General features: G+C 45.1%; 1 protein-coding gene across 1 annotated transcript, besides 1 other annotated feature; it reads right to left on the bottom strand.

The window, feature by feature from the left end:
- Positions 1–5,191: 5,191 nt before the first annotated feature.
- Positions 5,192–16,132, bottom strand: GCNT3 (glucosaminyl (N-acetyl) transferase 3, mucin type). The gene is made up of 3 exons (NM_004751.3): positions 15,934–16,132; positions 11,034–11,223; positions 5,192–9,736 (listed from the first exon to the last, which is right to left on the bottom strand). Exon 3 carries the CDS (start codon positions 9,674–9,676, stop codon positions 8,360–8,362), a length of 1,317 nt encoding a protein of 438 aa, NP_004742.1. The 5' UTR covers positions 9,677–9,736; positions 11,034–11,223; positions 15,934–16,132; the 3' UTR covers positions 5,192–8,359.
- Positions 11,104–11,339: a silencer, noted in NCBI's record as "fragment chr15:59908775-59909010 (GRCh37/hg19 assembly coordinates)". NCBI's record gives its function as "represses an EF-1alpha promoter that drives an FKBP-Casp9 reporter gene in an ReSE screen in phorbol 12-myristate 13-acetate-treated (for megakaryocytic differentiation) K562 erythroleukemia cells {active_cell/tissue: K562(+PMA)}" and the evidence as "EXISTENCE:reporter gene assay evidence [ECO:0000049][PMID:32094911]".
- Positions 16,133–18,002: the final 1,870 nt, after the last annotated feature.

Raw genomic sequence — 18,002 nt, 5'->3', positions numbered from 1 at the left:
AACTCTGAGATATGCCTGTATATATATGTTTACTACAAAACATGTTCAAGAACGTCCTTAGGAACACAATTTATAATGGACAAAACTTGGAAACAACCCAAATGTCCGTCAACAGAATGGATCGACTATGGTATATTCATACAATGGATTATTACACAGCAGTGAGAATCACTGAACTGCTACAAAAAACAGATGAATCTTGTAAACATATTGTTGAGTTTCCTGAATCACTGAACTGCTACATACAACATAGATGAATCTTGTAAACATAATGTAGAGTTTAAGGAGCCATAAACAAAGGAGAACATAGTACTTACATAAAATTCAAAAACAGGCAAAATAATCTGTGATGTTAGAAGTGAGAACAATGGTTATTTTTGGAAAGCCATCGGAAAGGAACACAAGAGATACTCTGGGTTGCTGGGAATGTTCTCTTTCTTGACCAGTGTTCTAGTTACACAGGTGTGCTCACTTTGTAAAAATTCTTGAGTTAGATATTTGGAATTTTTGTATTTTTGCATACGGATATTATACCTCAGATAAGATGTTAGTTGAAAAAGAGGCTGGATACAGCGGTTCACACCTGTAATACCAGCACTTTAGGAGGCTGAGGCAGGAGGATTGCTTGAGGCCAACAGTTCAAGACTAGCCTGGGCAACATGGCAAAACCCCGTCTCTACAATTTTTTAAATTAGCAAGGCGTCATAGTGCATGTCTGTAATCCCAGCTACTTGAGAGGCTGAGATGGGAGGATCGCTTCAGCCCAGGAGATTGAGGCTGCAGTGAGCCATGATCGTGCCACTGTACTCCAGTCTAGGCGACACAATGAGAGAACCCCACAGATCCCACAACATCCACCCATCTACTACAGCTGAGTCCATCCACGCTGCCTTCACTCCTGTTACTGTAGGTGAACTGTTCATACTTCCATGAAAGACAAGCCTTTCTTCTTGGGCCCTTAAATAATCATCTCTCTTTTCTTTCCAAAGATGTCATCATTCTGGCAAGCCTCCCAACTCATTCCTACATCTTTTCCTCTTGACTAGATCTTTCCCATCAATATACCAACAGGTTACCACTTTATACATTTTCAAGATAACCTTCTCTTAACCAGTTACTTTACTTTTTTTCTGCTTCTTTTGGCTTAAAGTAAAACTCCTCAAAAGATTTTCTATACTTGCTGAATCCACTTTTGTTCTCCCTGAACCACCTCCAATCAAGTGCTCACCTCCGCACTTCACAAAAACCGATCTTATCAAGCTTACTTACCTACATGTTGTTAAATCCAATAGTCACTTCTTCATCCTCATCATATGCAAGTCTCAGCAGCTTTTGATGCAATCATCAGCTCTCTCTTTCCTGAAACACTTTTTCCTGTTTGCTTCCAGAACATCACACTCACCCTGTTTTCCTTCTACCACTCTAGTTGCTTCTTTCCTACTCTCTTTTGCTGGTTTCTCCTTGTCTCTCTGCCCTCTGCAATTTGGAAACTGCAATTCATTTGGTAACCTCTATTCCCTTTTCTCTCTTTTAAGGTTCTTATCCGTTTCATGACTTTACACAATCTGTAAGCTGTTAAACACCAGGTAAGTATCTCCAATCCAGATCTCTCTCCCAAATTCAGACTTCTATATACATTCATCTCTTCAGCATCTCTACTTGGATATCTAATAGCCATCTGCAGTTTTATATGTTCACAAAGTCCTGACCTTCCCTGAAAAACCAGTCTTCCACAGGCTTCCCATCTTAGTTAGTGGCAACACCATCCTTCTAACAAGATAAAACCCTTGGAGTTATTTACTCCTCTATTTCTCTCCAACTCAATCTGTCAGCAAATCCTCACACTGAACCTTCAAAATACTTCCAGGCTGGATGCGATGGCTCACGTCTGTAATCCCGGCACTTTAGGAGGCTGAGATGGGGGGATCGCCTCCTATCTCAGGAGTTCAAGGCCAGCCTGGGCAACATGGTGAAACCCCATCTTTACAAAACATACCAAAGTTAGCTGGACATGGTGGCATGCACCTGTAGTCCGAGCCACTTGGGGGGCTGAGGCAGGAGGATCACTTGAGCCCAGGAGGTCGAGGCTGTGGTGAGCTGAGATCATGCCACTGCACTCTAGCCTGTACAAAAAAAAAAAAAAATTCCAGAATCTGGCCACTTTCACCACTTCTACTACTACGGCTTTGGTTCAAGCCACTATTGCATAGTGCCTGGATTATTGCTATAGTCTCCTAACTGGCCTCCCTGCTCTACCCTCGCCCCCAAGCCAGTCTGTTCTCAATGCAGCAGGCTAGAGTCATCCTATTAAAATGTGAGTTCTCTGCTCAGAAACCCCTACAATGGCCTATTTCACTCAAAGGAGAAGACAAACTCCATACAATAGCTTAAAAAAGCCTCTACTGGCCTCCTCTGTATGCCCCTCTTAACTCCTCTTCTTCTCCTCCTTTAATCCACTTACAATAGCTTCCTCGCTGTTCCTGAAACATGACAGGTGGGTTCCTGCTTCAGGGCCTTGCAAGTCTTTCCTCTAGAATGTGATCTTCCCCCTTAATCCTCATGGATCATTTCCTCGTCTCCTCAGATGTTTTTATTTTTCCTTGAGATGGGGTCTTGCTGTGTCACCCAGGCTGAAGTATACTGAGTGGTACAATCATTGCTCACTGCATCCTCGACTCCTGAGCCCAAGTAATCCTCCTGCCTCAGTCTACCAAGTAGCTGGAATTACAGGTGTGCACCACACCTGGCTAATATTTCTATTTTTTGTAGAGACAGCGTTTTGCCATGTTGCCTAGGCTGGTCTCGAACACCTGGGCTCAAGCAATCTTTCCTCCTTGGCTTCCTGAAGTGCTGGGATTACAGGCGTCAGCCACCATGCCTGACCTTCCTTCAGATCATTACTTGAACATCACCTTTTCATCGAGGGATTTCCTGTCCACCCATGGGTGGGTGTGTGGGTGTGTGTGTGTGTGTGTGTTTTGGTTTTGGTTTTGTGTGTTTTTGTTTTGTTTTTTTGTTTTGAGACAAGGTCTCACCCTGTCGCTGAAGCTGGAATGCAGTGGCACAATGATTATAGTTCACTACAGCCTCTAACTCCACAGGCTCAAGCTTTCCTCCTGCCTCAGCCTTCCAAAGTGCTGGGATTACAGATGTGAGCCTCCACACCCAGCCCAGGCCACCCTATTTAAAATTTTAAATATCTTCCCTTTCTACTCCATCCTCCCAAGTTCTCCATCACTTCCTTTGATCTCTATCATTTGTTTCCTTATAATAATTTACAGTCTGTTTCCCACTAGTATGCAAACAACACAAGTGTTGGAATTTTTGTCTGTGTTTTGACTGATGTATCCCCAGTGCCAAGAACAATTCCTGGTAAACAGTAAGAGCACAATAGTTGTGGGATGAAGACGTTATCTCATTGATTGCCAGTACATTCAAGCTTCATAGAGGCAGAAACCATATCTTATTCATCTTTGTAATAAAAAATTAAATGGGCCCAGTGTGGTGGCTCACACCTGTAATCCCAGCACTTTAGGAAGCCAAGGGGGTGGATGGCCTGAGGTCAGGAGTTCGAGACCAGCCTGGCCAAGATGGAGAAACCCTGTCTATACTAAAAATACAAAAATTAGCTGGGCATGGTGGCGGGCACCTGTAACCCCAGCTACTTGGGAGACTGAGACAGGAGAATCACTTGAACCCCAGAGGTGGAGGTTGCAGTGAGCCAAGACCATGCCACTGCACTCCAGCCTGGGCAAGAAGAGCAAAACTTGTCTCAAAAAAAAGACTAAATGGAAGCAGTAAGATCAGATTCTTGGGGACAGGTGCAGTGGCACCTGCCTGTAATCCCAGCTACTCAGGAGGCTGAGGAAAGAGGATTGCTTGAGCCCATGAGTTCAAAACCAGGCTAGGCAACGTAGTGAGATCTCATCTTTAAAAAGTAAGAAGAATCTTAAAAAAATAGAAAAACTGATCTTTGGCTCAAGTAAGGTACTTAAAGCAGACAAGCAGGCAGGGTATTTAATTATTCTTTTTTTTTTTTTTTTTTAAGAGTCAGAATCTTGCTCTCATGCCAGTTTGCAGTGCAGTAGCACGATCATGGCTCACTGCATCCTCAAATTTCTGAGCTCAAGTAATCCTCCCACCTCAGCCTCCTGAAGTGCTGGGATTACAGGTGTGAACCACCACACCTAGCCCCAATGTTTTTTCCAGTTTTAATCAAAGTATTTGACCTCCTCAACTGATGTATGTCATATGTTCCCAAGCAAGGTTATCAACGGCCTTCTCCTTCTTTCTTGAGAAATTTTCAAGCTGGGCATGGTAGCATATGCCTGTAGTCCCAGCTACTCAGGAGGCTGAGGCAGGAGGATCGCTAGAGCCCAGGAGGTTGACCTGGGTTCAGGCAATCCTCCCGCCTCGGCCTCCCAAAGTGCTGGCATTACAGGTATGAGCCACTGTGCCTGGCCTTCTTTCAGACCTTTACTTGAACATCACCTTTTTATTGAGGGATTCCCTGTCAACGCTTTTGTGGGTTTTTTGTTTTTGCTTTTTGAGACAGGGTCTCACTCTGTCACTGAAGCTGGAATGCAGTGGCACAATGATCATAGTTCACTGCAGCCTCAGACTCCCTGAGCACGCCTGCAGTTCCAGCTACTCAGGTGGCCGAGGTGGAAGGATTGCTTGAGCCCAGGAGGTCGAGGCTGTGGTGAGCCATCACTGCAGCACTGCACTCCAGCCCGGGCAACAGAGTGAGTCCCCCGTTTCCAAAAAAAAAAAAAAAAACATTTTTTCCACTCAACCAAGAGAAAGACAAAAACTACAATGAGCAGAGTGTACAACAAAAATGCAGTTATTAAAACAATGCTTACCAATAGCCCACAGATAAAAAATAAGGAGGAAATCCAAACCCTGAGAGGTAATACAAACACAGTTGTTCAATTAATTTGTGAGATTTTTCCTTACCAGAGAACGGTTAAAGACACAGATATGACTCAGAGGGAAGAGAAAAATCAGCAGATGTGTTGGTGTATGATTTCTATAATACACTAAACAAATGAGGGCTAAATTCGACCCCTCTGATATGAAGACCCTGTGTTATTAAATAAACAGCACTTCCTACGCACCTGAATATATTTCTAGAGAAAATTTCAATGGTTGAAAAATTTCAGTAACTTATCCCCAAAAAAATGACAAGTTCACATTTTAATCTTTTTATTTATATAAAAAATTATAAATTATTTCACATGAAAGCTTTTGGAGTAAGTTAACTATGAGGCCAAAGTTCTTTTCTCAGAGAATCTGCACCCAGGGAGGCTTTTCTGCCTACTTCCCACGGTGGCCGTGTGCCCCTTCTACCTCCTTCAGAGGAGGACCAAGGACCATCACATCAGCCAGCAGGGGGAGGCCGTGATCGATCACCACTGCTGGCAACAGACCTCTCAGGGCACACCCACTGTGTATACAACTAGTCATCAGTCATCTCCGTAGTGGGGTTGGGAGCAAAGTGAATAGGACTCTATTACAATGCAGGCAAGTTGGTAGTGACAATGACCATTATCTAAGAAGTACAACCTTACCAAAAAAAGGTAACTTTTTTTTTTTTTTTGAGACTCAGTCTGGCTCTATCGCCCAGGCTGGAGTGCAGTGGTACGATCTCAGCTCACTGCAACCTCTGCCTCCCATGTTCAAGCGATTCTCCTGCCTCAGCCTCCCAAGTAGCTGGGATTACAGGTACCCACCACCATGTCTGGCTAATTTTTATATTTTTAGTAGAGATGGGGATTCACCATGTTGGCCAGGCTGATCTTGAACTCCTGACCTCAAGTGATCTGCCTACCTTGGCCTCCCAAAGTGCTGGGATTACAGGCGTCAGCCACCACACCTGGCCAAAAGTAACTACCTTATAAATAAAAAATTCACTGTGTCAGACACAGTGATAACTGTCAGAGTTACAGGGTTTGCATAGAGAAAGTTGATCATGACAGAAAACTTGATGAATTGAATGACAACACTCAGAAAGGGCTGGGTGCGGTAGCTCACGCCTGTAATCCCAGCACTTTGGGAAGCCAAGGCAAGTGGATCACTTGAGGTCAGGAGTTCAGACCAGCCTGACCAACATGGTGAAACCCTGTTTCTACTAAAAAAATACAAAAAAATTAGCCAGGCAAGGTGGCACACACCTGTAATCCCAGTTACTCAGGAGGCTGAGGCAGGAGAATCGCTTGGACCCAGGAGGCGGAGGTTGTAATGAGCCAAGATTGCGCCATTCGTTGCACTCCAACCTGGGTGACAGAGTGAGACTCTGTCTCAAAAAAAAAAAAAAAAACAAAAATCAGAAAGGAAGAAACATATTAATGACATCATGACGTATTAATGGGAGCATCCTTCAGATTACACCAATTAACTTGCATATAAATCACCTTTCCAGGGCATATCGTATGCAGAAGATGAGCTGTACTATATTCAAAGGGCACTGCCTATGTTTTTATAGTATCCCTTGCCCATCACAGAAGAGTATAACTTAGCCAACAACCATCTCTGGAGCTTCGGAAAGGAAACTGTTTCACTAGGTAACACTTGGGAGGTAGCGTGCTGTATGTGTGTATACATACACACACATATATGTATTTACACATACCTTATTGTCTCCCCGCAAGGAAATGTGTAATCTGCAGAATCACTAATAGCGATCCTTCCATTCGCATTCTGAAATAAGAGTTTTGACTCAAGAGGGGACCAGGCATGGTGGCTCACACCTGTAATCCCAGCACTTTGGGAGGCTGGGGCAGGTGGATCACTTGAGGCCAGGAGTTTGAGACCAACCTGGCCAACATGGTGAAACCCCATCTTTACTAAAAATACACAAAAATCAGCTGGGCATGGTGGCTCACATCTGTAATCCCAGCTACTTGCAAGGTTTGGGGGGAGAATCACTTGAACCTGGGAGGCAGAGGCTTCAGTGAGCCAAGATCATGCCACTGCACTCCAGCCTGGGCAACAGAGTGAGAACCTGTCTCCAAAAAAAAAAAAAAAAAAAAAAAAAAAAAGAGTTTTGACTCAAGAGGCCTAAACATGGAATAATAAGACATCCTGGTTTAACTGAATAGTCCTAGTTTATTTTTATTTCTCAATACAATTATTAATAGTGCAGACTCTCCCCCTACAAAAACATGTTCCACTTTGAATAATGAATTACACATTACCTTACCTGATTGGCTATTATCTCCTTTATGGAACATTAGCTAAGCTTTGGCTGTAAAGTGGACAAAATTAGAATTAGTGCTGCGATTTTCCTGTAAGAGTACAGGAAAGGTGGTCAAACTGGTTAAATCACCCTGCCTTTTCCTTTACAGAAAAATCACAAACCTGGCAATATAAACAAAATGAGGATGGCTTTTAACAATGGAAGAACCATCCCTGTTCCCCTGTCTTCGTTAGAATTTGCTATTTGTAGGCCAGGCGCAGTAGTTCCCACCTGTAATCCCAGCATTTCGGAAGGCCGAGGCGGGCAGATCACAAGGTCAGGAGTTCAAGACCAGCCTGGCGAATATGGTGAAACCCGGCCTCTACTAAAAATACAAAAATTAGCCAGACATGGTGCTGCATGCCTGTAGTCCCAGCTACTCAGGAGGCTGAGGTGGGAGTATCGCTTGAACCTGGGAGGCGGAGGTTGCAGTGAACTGAGATTGCACTACTGCAGTCCAGCCTGGGTGACAGAGCAAGACTCTGTCTCAAAAAAAAAATTGCTATTCATGCAGCTTGTCAGGACCATTTCAGAATAATGAGAACTCTCTTGCCAGCCCCTAGGGATTTTAAATGTCATGAATAGTTATGAGAAAAAGTCTCACACACTTTATCTGTTTATATTTATATTATTTCTGGCATACTAGGCAAAAAGTAGAGGTAATACTTTGAATCAGGAGCTATTTATTTTTAAGTTAACAGTACAGAAGGGAAGGTTCTCTTTCCATCAAAGTTCTCCTCCACGCTACCAAACCTGGAATTATTAGGAACGGCAGCTCCACAGAATGGAAAAGCTACCAGCAGGCATTCAACTGAAATCAAGTGCTCTACCACATATCCCTCCTTCACTCTCCCTATCACAGCAGTTCTCATTCTCACTTAGTGAGAAAGTTAGTGGAGGAACTACTAGGGTTAGGGGTGAGAGAACAAGCAGCATTCACCCAGGCAGCAATTTGCAAGGCAAAAGATCTACTTACCCACACTCTAATAGCAGCCCTCTTATCCTAAAGGATGCCACGAATTGCAAAGCCCTGGTCTCCCACCCACACTGTCCCAGCAAGTTCTGAGCATGTTTGTACATGCTCTTGCCCCACAGGTAGCAACGCTCTCATAGTGTGTCTCAAAGTTCAGTCCCATAGATGGCCTTATAACGTAGGTATTCTTCTAAGCACTGAAGAGCATTATCATCTACCTTTGGGTCAAACTTGTTGGCCAACAGGTGATGGTTTTGAAGCATCCAATTCAAGTCCCCAGCCCCATAAACGCAGATAGCCCGCTGGTGGATTCCAGAGCAGGGAGCATAAGGAGCACCCTTATCGATGTCTCCCTCATGACCCTGCCACTTGACCAGCCTGGCAATAGAAGTCATGTCTGAGATGTCGTACTTGGGGTGGTTGGGAACAGAGCCAGGCATCCACCGTGCACGCTGAAGGGTGGCCCAGAGGTGTTCATCTGGGCTATAAGTGTCTTTTACCCATTCAATCAGTTGTTGGGATTTAGGGTTCTTCAAAACATGTTGGACGAAATCTCGGGAAGCCACAATGTACGCATTCCCTGTAAACATAGTTAAATTATAAGGGGGAGGATCCTTCTTCTTGTTGGTTAGGTGTAATGTGTCTCTCACTACCTCAAAGTGATATTTCCAGCGGGTTTCTTTGTGCTTAGGAGGTACCTCTGACTCCATGCTATTCCTCCCATTCAACATCTTGAGAGCCTGGACCATCTCTGCATTGCTCTTTATAGGAAAGTCCGTCCCACATGTATTCAGGAAGTATTTCCACGGCACTGAGCTCTGGAGCAAGTCTTCCATGCAGTTGAGGTCAGCTTGCACCCTGGACCAGGAGGCATAAACCACCCGAACCAGCTTACTGGCTATGAAGACATTTGGGAAGCAAGAAATAATTGCTTTGACCGCCTCTTTGAAAGTTTCTGGGGACTTCTCATCCACATGGACACAGTATATGTTCTGAGGGGCATACACAGCTCGCAGTAGCCTTTCAAAGTTTTCAATCTTCTCATGAATCACCATAGAGTATGCAATAGGGAACTCCACCTCTTCTTTGCTCAGTGGGAACTGTATGAACTTCCTTTCAGCCTTGAAGTGCTCACAGTCTCTGGTGAGGGAGAGGTAGTGGGTGTCTGTGAAAGGCTCTCGCTTCTTCTTGACCTCCAGGTTATTCAGAATAGCCTGAAGCACTGCCTCTTGGTCCCCTCGGGTGACCCCTGAACAGTTGATAGACCTCTTTGCTGGAAGTTTCAGGAAATTATACAAGATATTCCTACAGTACTGGCTTTGAGATTCCCTGGACTCCAGACCCAAGTGGTCAGAGTCACACTTCAACCTGAAAGAAAGTTTCAGAGCCACAGTGGCCAGCAGCATATAGCAGCCCAGAGCCCACAAGTAATGCAGCTGGCAGAGTCTCTTCCATTGAACCATCGTCACAGAATGGGAGACAGGTGGAGACCGAGCACAGGGAAGGTGGAGGAGGACACAATCCTTGGACAGAACAAAATGCCTCCAGTTACAAACCAATCATTCCCAGAAACATCAAGTTCAATTCCAAACTGATGGCAAAAAATATTTCTTACCTGGACAAAAATCCTTAGTAAAGACCTGCCTAGAAGCCCCTTACATCTGGTTTGTTGATGGAGATCTGTAATCTGACCCTACAAACTAGCCGACCACACTCAAGTCTGGATCTGGATCCACCTCCACCCCAGGAGAAAAGGAACAACTGAGCACCTGCTGCCATGGAGCGTCATTAGTAAGAGCACGTCCCCACCCACCCTTCATTCCTCATTCTTCTTCTCATGCCTTACCACCCTAGAATATAACTCTTATCTGGGGTCTGGAATTTCTGATAGATCTGGAGAGAAAAATCCATAAAATTCAGACTCTTGGCATCGGTTCTAGAAACCTAAAGGTCCTTTCAAAACATTTCTTGCTTCTATTTTGGCAATTTATATAGCATTAGAATGCTTTTCACCATATATAATTCATTGGTCAGATGTGACATCTAGCCACACTTTTTAAAAAATGTTCTTAAAGAAGTAAAAATAACTGGATATTATCCAAAAATGCATTGAAATCATTCAGAGTATCCATCCAAGTTTAAAATATACTTGCACACAAGCTGTGTATATACAATATTTAATGAGTACCTTTTGTGGGTGAGAAATATTTATTTACACTGTCCCATTTAATAACCTTCACAACCAATCTGAAATGTATTATTAAGCCTCTTTTATAGATAGGAAAACAGAAGCTAAATAACTTGCCAAATACACATGTTTTAAGAAGCAAATCCAGGACTCCTCTCCACTCTCTCTTCTCCCCCAGTGTTTTTGTCTACAAGCCTAATGCTTGTTCCAACAAACCACAGCTACCTTTGAAATACAATACAGGAAGTATTATAGCTCTTTTATATTTTGTTTGGACTCCCAAACAAATTTCACTGTCCGATGAAGACCAGGAAGCCCCTTTAAAAAAAAAAAAAGAAAGAAAGAAAACAAAAGAAAAATAAAGAAAAAACATTGTACATTGAAATCCTAAGATGAATATGGAAAAAAAAGAAAAAATAAATACAATAAAGGGTACTGAATATCAGTAAAGAAAACCAGATATTATAGAAAATAATCCCTATAAGGAGAGGGACAAAATGTGCCACATCCTTCAAGCAATGATTATTTTCCCTTGTTGTAGCTCTTCCTAAACACAAGAATGTATTCTCTTTAGTAATAGCTTTTATGGGAATCTAAGAGGAAGGAAAATGAAAAATGAAGAAAATTCTCACCTTTAGTAGCTTCTCTCCTGCTTAGGGATGATCTCTTCACAAGGCGTGATTCTGTTTCCAAGTGAAGACTGGCGGTGTTCCGTGGCAGCAAATGTGAACAACCATGTCCCCTGATCTTCTAACCCTCCAAAAGGTATTTTCTGACATTCATAAGATGTCCAAGGAACAGTTTCAGGCTCCTCTTTAATATCTGCAAAGTAGAGGGCAGCAGGTGGCTCCATCACTCTCCTTTTGACTTCCTGCTCTCAGGTAAGACAGCAAGCTCAGAGAAATCATGCAGAAACATTCTCAAGCCCAAGTCATTCAGGGAGGTCAGTGAGGCAGGAAGAATGCTGGCAATATCCGACAAGGCAAACAGATATTTCAGCCAGAACAGCCCAGTTTGTACCTGTGTCACCAACTATTCATAAAAGCCTGTCAGTGCTCACGCAAGAACTTGAAAGCCTTTTTCCCTCAACGAGGAACCATAGAAACAGAGAGATATGCCCCTCCCTTCTTTTGTTTGGGAGTCCAAATGTCACTCATGTTCCCTGAACATTACAAGAGGTGGGAATAAAAATACTCTTCAAGGATTTTTCTTTTGTTATTTTACTTTTCTTTAAAAAAAGCACATCAATGAAATCCATAGTTCATTCTTCAAATGCAACTGCTCCCTCCCGGTACCCCACCAGAAAACATCCATTTGCCTGTCTTTGCACGACTATTAATAATCTGTAAGTTGTAGAAATACCCACAGGGTTCCAGTTTGTAGAGCTCCCTCACTAATGTCTATGAGTCTAGAGCTGTTGGCAGTCTAAGGAATGGATTACACTATGGGCTGTTGGACTTCAGTGAGAGCCCCATGGGGTGGTTTTGGCCATGGTATAGATTACAAAATGCCTTCTTCAAAGCTGCTGACATTGTTAGCTTCTCCCCAACCCGGCCCCCAACTGCTCCTCCTAAAAAGCAACACTCCTAACCAAATATCTGAACAGAGCAAGTTTTTTGTTGTTTTTACAAAGTATCTGGCTCTGTCGCCCAGGCTGGAGTGCAGTGGTGTGATTACGGCTCAATGCAGCCTTGTCCTCCTGGGCTCAAGCCATCCTCCTGCCCCAGCATCCTGAGTAGCTGGGACCACAGGCACACACCACCATGCGGAGATAATTTTTTTTTTTTTTTTAAAGTAGAGATGAGGTCTTGCTATGTTGCCCACGCTCATCTCAAATTCCTGGGCTCAAGTGATCCTCCCACCTCGGCCTCCCAAAGTGCTGGGATTACAGGAGTGAGCCACCACGCCCAGCCTGAACAGGGCAAATTTAATATAAAGAACTCAACTAGGTATAAAGTTAAGATATAAAGTGTTGGGGAAGGAGTCACTATTAAGGCACTAGCAATTGTTGGACATAGCTACCACTCCTAGATTGAGGGAATTAAGGGAGGAACTGAAAATTATTAAATTGAAATTTTGGGTGGAGAGACACCGAAGAAGCTGAAACTCATGGCTCTGAAGAGTGGTGACCACTCAACAAATGCTGAGGTCTCTGAGCTCACAGGAGGGCCCTCTGGGCTGAGATCCAGACCTCTCAGGAGGCAAATGAAATCTTTGCCGATAGCTACTGTAAACTGAATTTAGTGCAGCTACACAAAGGAACAGCCACTGAGACATAAATAGGCGTTGACATGGTGATGCTCACAGAACCAGGAAGCAGATAGGAAGCAAACAGGAAGTCCCTCCTCCAGCCGGCTGTCTCCCTCCAGTGCCCTTTATTGGCAGAGTTTAAGCAGAAACGTGGTTTGCAAGAGGCATGAATAACCTCCAGCATTACAAAGTAGAGTTGAGAAGGGTGGATTTCTCCTGAAGATAATGAGGCAATAATGGAGATGAGTCAGAGTTGCCTTCTTGGTGCACAAATTGTTTACATGCACACACCTCCAAGATTTTCAGCGCAGAGAATTTAGGTATTTTATTTTTTGGTCCTCTGCCCACCGGCCTCTGACTTAGATGAAGCCACAGCAAAGACAAGAAAGTCATGTAGGGTTGTCAGAGGTGCTTGAACCAGAGCAACTCCATCTTGAATAAGGGCTGGGTAAAATGAGGCTGAGACCTACTGGGCTGCATTAGCAGATGGTTAAGGCATTCTAAATCACAGGATGAGATAGAGGAGATAGGCCCAAGATACAGGTCATAACAATCTTGCTGATAAAACAGATTGTAGTAAAGAAGCCAGCTAAAACCCACCAAAACCAAGATGGTGACGAGAGTGACCTCCTGTCCTCCTCACTGCTACACTGCCCCCAGTGCCATGACAATTTACAAATACCATGGCAACAACAGGAAGATACCCTATTTGATCTAAAAGGGGGAGGCATGAATAACCCACCCCTTGTTTAGCGTATCATCAAGAAATAACCATTAAAATGGGCAACCAGTAGTCCCCTCAGGGCTGCTATGTCTATGGAGTAGCTATTCTCTTATTCCTTTACTTTCTTAATGAACTTGCTTTCACTTTACGGACTCGCCCTGAATTCTTTCTTGCGCAAGATCCAAGAACCCTCTGTTGGGGTCTGGATCGGGACCCCTTTCTGGTAACAGGGTCATCTGCACCCCTACGTGGGCCCTGCTCCACAGGCTGTTTTCTGCGGTACTGGGATTCTCAGTGACTTTCCATTGTTGAGTATAAAATCTCTGGGACAAGAATGATTATGGGATAAGCACTTGCTTCAGTATTCTAATCTAGAAAAACTCCTCCACTTTATTAGTATCTTACTTTTCTTTGGTGCCCCCCTCAAGTCTCACCTTCATTCCCATAAAAACTGCATTATAGATTCCCTCAGTAAGAGACAACACCTTGAATAGTTGAGGGCTTTTGTTTGTGTATGTGTTTTTCAGAGACAGGGTCTCGCTGTCACCCAGGCTGGAGTGCAGTGGCAGATCATAGCTCACTGCAGCCTCGAACTCCTGGGTTCAAGCCATCCTTCCACCTTAGCTTCCCAAGTAGCTGGGACTACAGGCACAAGCCACCATGCCCAGCTAATTTTTATTATTTGTATTTTTTTTGTAGAGATGCGGTTTCACTGTGTTGCCCAGGCTGGTCTCAAGCTCCTGGGCTTCCAAAGTGCTGGGATTAAAAATGTGAGCCACTGTGCCGGGCCTGAATATTTTTGTTGTTGTCATTTGAGACAAGGTCTGGCTGTACAGCCCAGATTGGAGTGCAGTGGCGCCATCTCAGCTCACTGCAACCTCTGCCTCCTGGGCTCAAGCGATCCTCCTACCTCAGCCTCCTGAGTAGCTGAGATTACACTCAGCTGATTTATTTTTATTTTTATTTATTTATTTATTTATTTATTTATTTATTTATTTATTTATTGTAGAGATGGAGTTTGCTGTTCCCCTGGCTGGTCTTGAACTCAGGAGCTCAAGCAATCTCCCCGCCTCAGCCTCCCAAAATGCTAGGATTACAGGTATGAGCCACCATGCCCAGCCAAATATTTTATTTTTAAGGTAACCAAAGTAAGTTGGTTATGTGTTAAGTATTTGTTAATAACACATTAAGAAATCGTGGCTCTATTTTGTTGAGATGGTCTACATTATAGTAACGTCAAGTACCTAGTAATAAAGCCCAGCGTGGGACTCAGCCCAAAAAAGCTAGGTCTGAATCCTGGCTCTGCCACATTCAAGCTGAATGATCTGCAACAAATTCATTCATCAGTCTGTATTTTAGTGAATTCTTTTGCATAATAGAAGCTAATGCTAATATTTGTTTTCTACTACTATTGAGAAGATTAAACAAGATACATATGAAGGACCAGGCAAATATAGCCTGGTACTTACAGCCCCTCAGTGAAGGTTATCATGAAATAGATCCAGTGCTAGCCCACAAAGACCTATTTTACTGACAAAATAACTCAAGGTGGTTACAAGTAGCATTCCTGAACTCTGGACCAAGCAGAAGTGTTAATGTTTATGATGTAGTGAGGGAAAGGACTAAGAATTGCCCTCCATCTCTGTGTTCTGTGGAGAGACTCTATTGTAAGTTGTCACCCTCAGCACCTCAGGCAGAATAAGACCAGGGATGAGCTGCAACTGACCCCAGGGAGGTACAGGAGAGGGGACAGAATGGCTGCGGAAGGGCACAGGAAGATCGGGGGTGAGGCAACCTGCAGAGATCAGGCAAGCATTCAGAAAGATGGCCAGCAGCTTCCTCACCTTAATTCCATGCTAGCCCTGAAGAACATACAGGACACTTGGCAAGAGGGAGAAAGGGCGCAGTCCCAGACTGCCTGGGATCCCGGGCACATTTCAAGGCAAAAACTGAAACCTGGGGTATGATGCTTTTCACAGGGTTCCTTTTACCCCTGCTAAGGACAAAAGGTACAGCCAGATGATGCTGAAAGCAAATTTATCCAACAGCCCAGGAGTCATGAAGCTATTTAGACATCCCAAGAACTGAAAGGATGACCTTCACCTCCCTCAGTAACCAAAATATAAAGCAACATAATATAAGTAAGTCCAACCCAGTCCTGAGTTTTCCTACAATGACTACTACTATAATGCTGTCTTTCAAATAGCTAACTCTTCCCACTCAGACTCCTCAATCTTTTTCTCCTAATCACTAGTTCAGGCTTCCTATGGGCCAAAAGCTTCAACTTCATCGCTTGAGCTTTGAATTATAAATCCTTGTATGTTTGTGGAAAGGTCTAAGAGTTCCAGTCATGGGAAACAGAGAAACTAAGCTAGGGTCATCAAGGTGGTGCTGAGAGAAGCCAGTGGGATTTGATGTTAACCTTGACGGAGGCTCGAGGAATCCTACAGTCCCAACACCAGCGTCAGAGAAGGGCCCAAGAAGCAGGATTCATCTTAAGCTGAATTTACAAATTAGCTAATGCACACTTTTACTTAATTTGTTATGGTGGCATTTACCTTTGCCAGGCGTCAGCTTGGTCTTCTCATTGACAGGAAGCTCCTTGAGGTCATGTTCTTCATCTGTTTCCCTTCAGCACCTACAGTGATAGGTATTAGCAGAATCCCAGGGCTTCCCAGAACAAAAACTGCTGAGTAAAGGGCAGGTCACAAGTAGCAAGGGCAGTTCCCGTGACTTAGAGAGAAGAGGCTCTGACTCAGAGAAGTAATGCGAGAGGATAGATAAATAGGAAAACCCAGTTAATGTGTTACTTATTAGGCTGGAGCTAGGGTTTGAAAAAGACTGAAGGCACTAAAGAAGATGAGGAGAGGGGAGGTAGGGTGTTTTGAGCTCTAACATTAAATAAATGTTCTAGGTAGTGGGCTCTTAACAAAGATGAAGTTATGAACTCTAGCCACAGACAAACGGTTGAAAGACCCAGTGTGATCAAACTGGTTTCTAATCAGGGTTGCAAAGTGAAGCTCAGACTGGATGCAATTTGCTGAAAGACAGGGACAGCCTGTAGGTTCCTCCTTAGAGCTCCACATCCTCTCTGCACTCAAAGTTCCCCCTTGCTCTAGACAGCCCTCCTGGATGCACTTCACATGGCCTGGAGTGGAAGAGAAAAGAGATTAAAGAAGAAAAGAGAAAAGAGATTAAAGAGGAAAAGAAAGAGAGAGAGAGAGAAAGAGAAAGAGAGAGGAGAGAAAAGAAAGGAAGGAAAGAGGAAAGGGGAAGGGGAGGGAAAGAGGAAAGGGGAAGGGGAGGGAAAGAAGAAAGGGGGAGGGGAGGGAAAGAAGAAAGGGGGAGGGGAGGGGAGGGGGAGGGGAGGAGAAGGGGAGGGGGAGGAGAAGGGGAGGGGGAGGAGAAGGGGAGGGGGAGGAGAAGGGGAGGGGGAGGAGAAGGGGAGGGGGAGGGCGAGGGGAGGGGGAGGGCGAGGGGAGGGGGAGGGTGAGGGGAGGGGGAGGGGGAGGGGAGGGGGAGGGGAGGGGGAGGGGAGGGGGAGGGGAGGGGAGGGGGAGGGGAGGGGGAGGGGAGGGGAGGGGGAGGGGGAGGGGGAGGCAGAGGGGAGGGGGAGGCAGAGGGGAGGGGGAGGCAGAGGGGAGGGGGAGGGAGAGAAGGGGAGGGAAGGAGGAAGGGGGAGGGAAGGAGGGAGGGGGAGGGAAGGAGGGAGGGGGAGAGAGAAAGAGAAGAAGAGAAAAGGAAGAAAAGAAAGGAGGAAAGGAAGGAAGGAGGGAGGTAAGGAGGGAAGGAGGGAGAGAGGGAAGGAAAGAAGGAGGGAGAGAGGGAAGGAAGGAAGGAGGGAAAGAGGGAAGGAGGGAAGGAAAGAGGGAGGGAAGGAAGGAAGGAGGGAGGGATGGAGAGAGGGAAGGAGGGAGGGATGGAGGGAGGGAAGGAAGGAGGGAGGGAAGGAGGGAGGGAAGGAGGGAGGGAAGGAAGGAGGGAAGGAAGGAGGGAAGGAAGGAGGGAAGGAAGGAGGGACGGAAGGAGGGAGGGAGAGAAGGAAGGAGGGAGGGAAGGAAGGAGGGAGGGAAGGAAGGAGGGAGGGATGGATGGAGGGAATGAAGGAGGGAGGGAGGAGGGAGGGAGGAGGGAGGGAGGAGGGAGAGAGAAAGAGAAAAAGAAAGAGAAAGAAGGAAAGAAAGAAAGCCCACACTACTTACTCAAAGCAAGCAAGCAAGCCCCACACTGCTTATTCACAGGAAGGAAGGAAGGAGTGAAGGAAGGAGGGAGGGAGGGAGGGAAGGAAGGAAGGAAGGAAGGAAGGAAGGAAGGAAGGAAGGAAGGAAGGAAGGAAGGAAGGCAGGCAGGCAGGCAGGCAGGCAGGCAGGCAGGCAGGCAGGCAGGCAGGCAGGCCCACACTGCTTATTCACAAAATGCAGAGGAAACTTCTGAATCTTCTCAGGTGAGATAATCTTAATTTGCTACTCTCTCTCTACTCACATTCCCAAGGCCAGTCATTTGCCAAATTGTAAAGGCGGCCTTATTTCCTCACTCCAGTCTTTGGGTGGTGCTCTGCTTCCTGCCAAGACCAGCTGCCTGCTCACAGCTGCCCCTGCTGCTGCTCAGCACCACGGAAGCAAAGGGC

Source organism: Homo sapiens, chromosome 15, assembly GCF_000001405.40.
Source record: "Homo sapiens chromosome 15, GRCh38.p14 Primary Assembly".
Lineage (NCBI taxonomy): Eukaryota > Metazoa > Chordata > Mammalia > Primates > Hominidae > Homo > Homo sapiens.
Note: the sequence above shows the minus strand (reverse complement) of the source record. Positions and strands in the feature narration are given on the sequence as shown.

Excerpts from the sequence above, each read along its gene's own strand:
- GCNT3 (NM_004751.3), bottom strand. The coding sequence starts at position 9,676 with ATGGTTCAATGGAAGAGACTCTGCCAGCTGCATTACTTGTGGGCTCTG.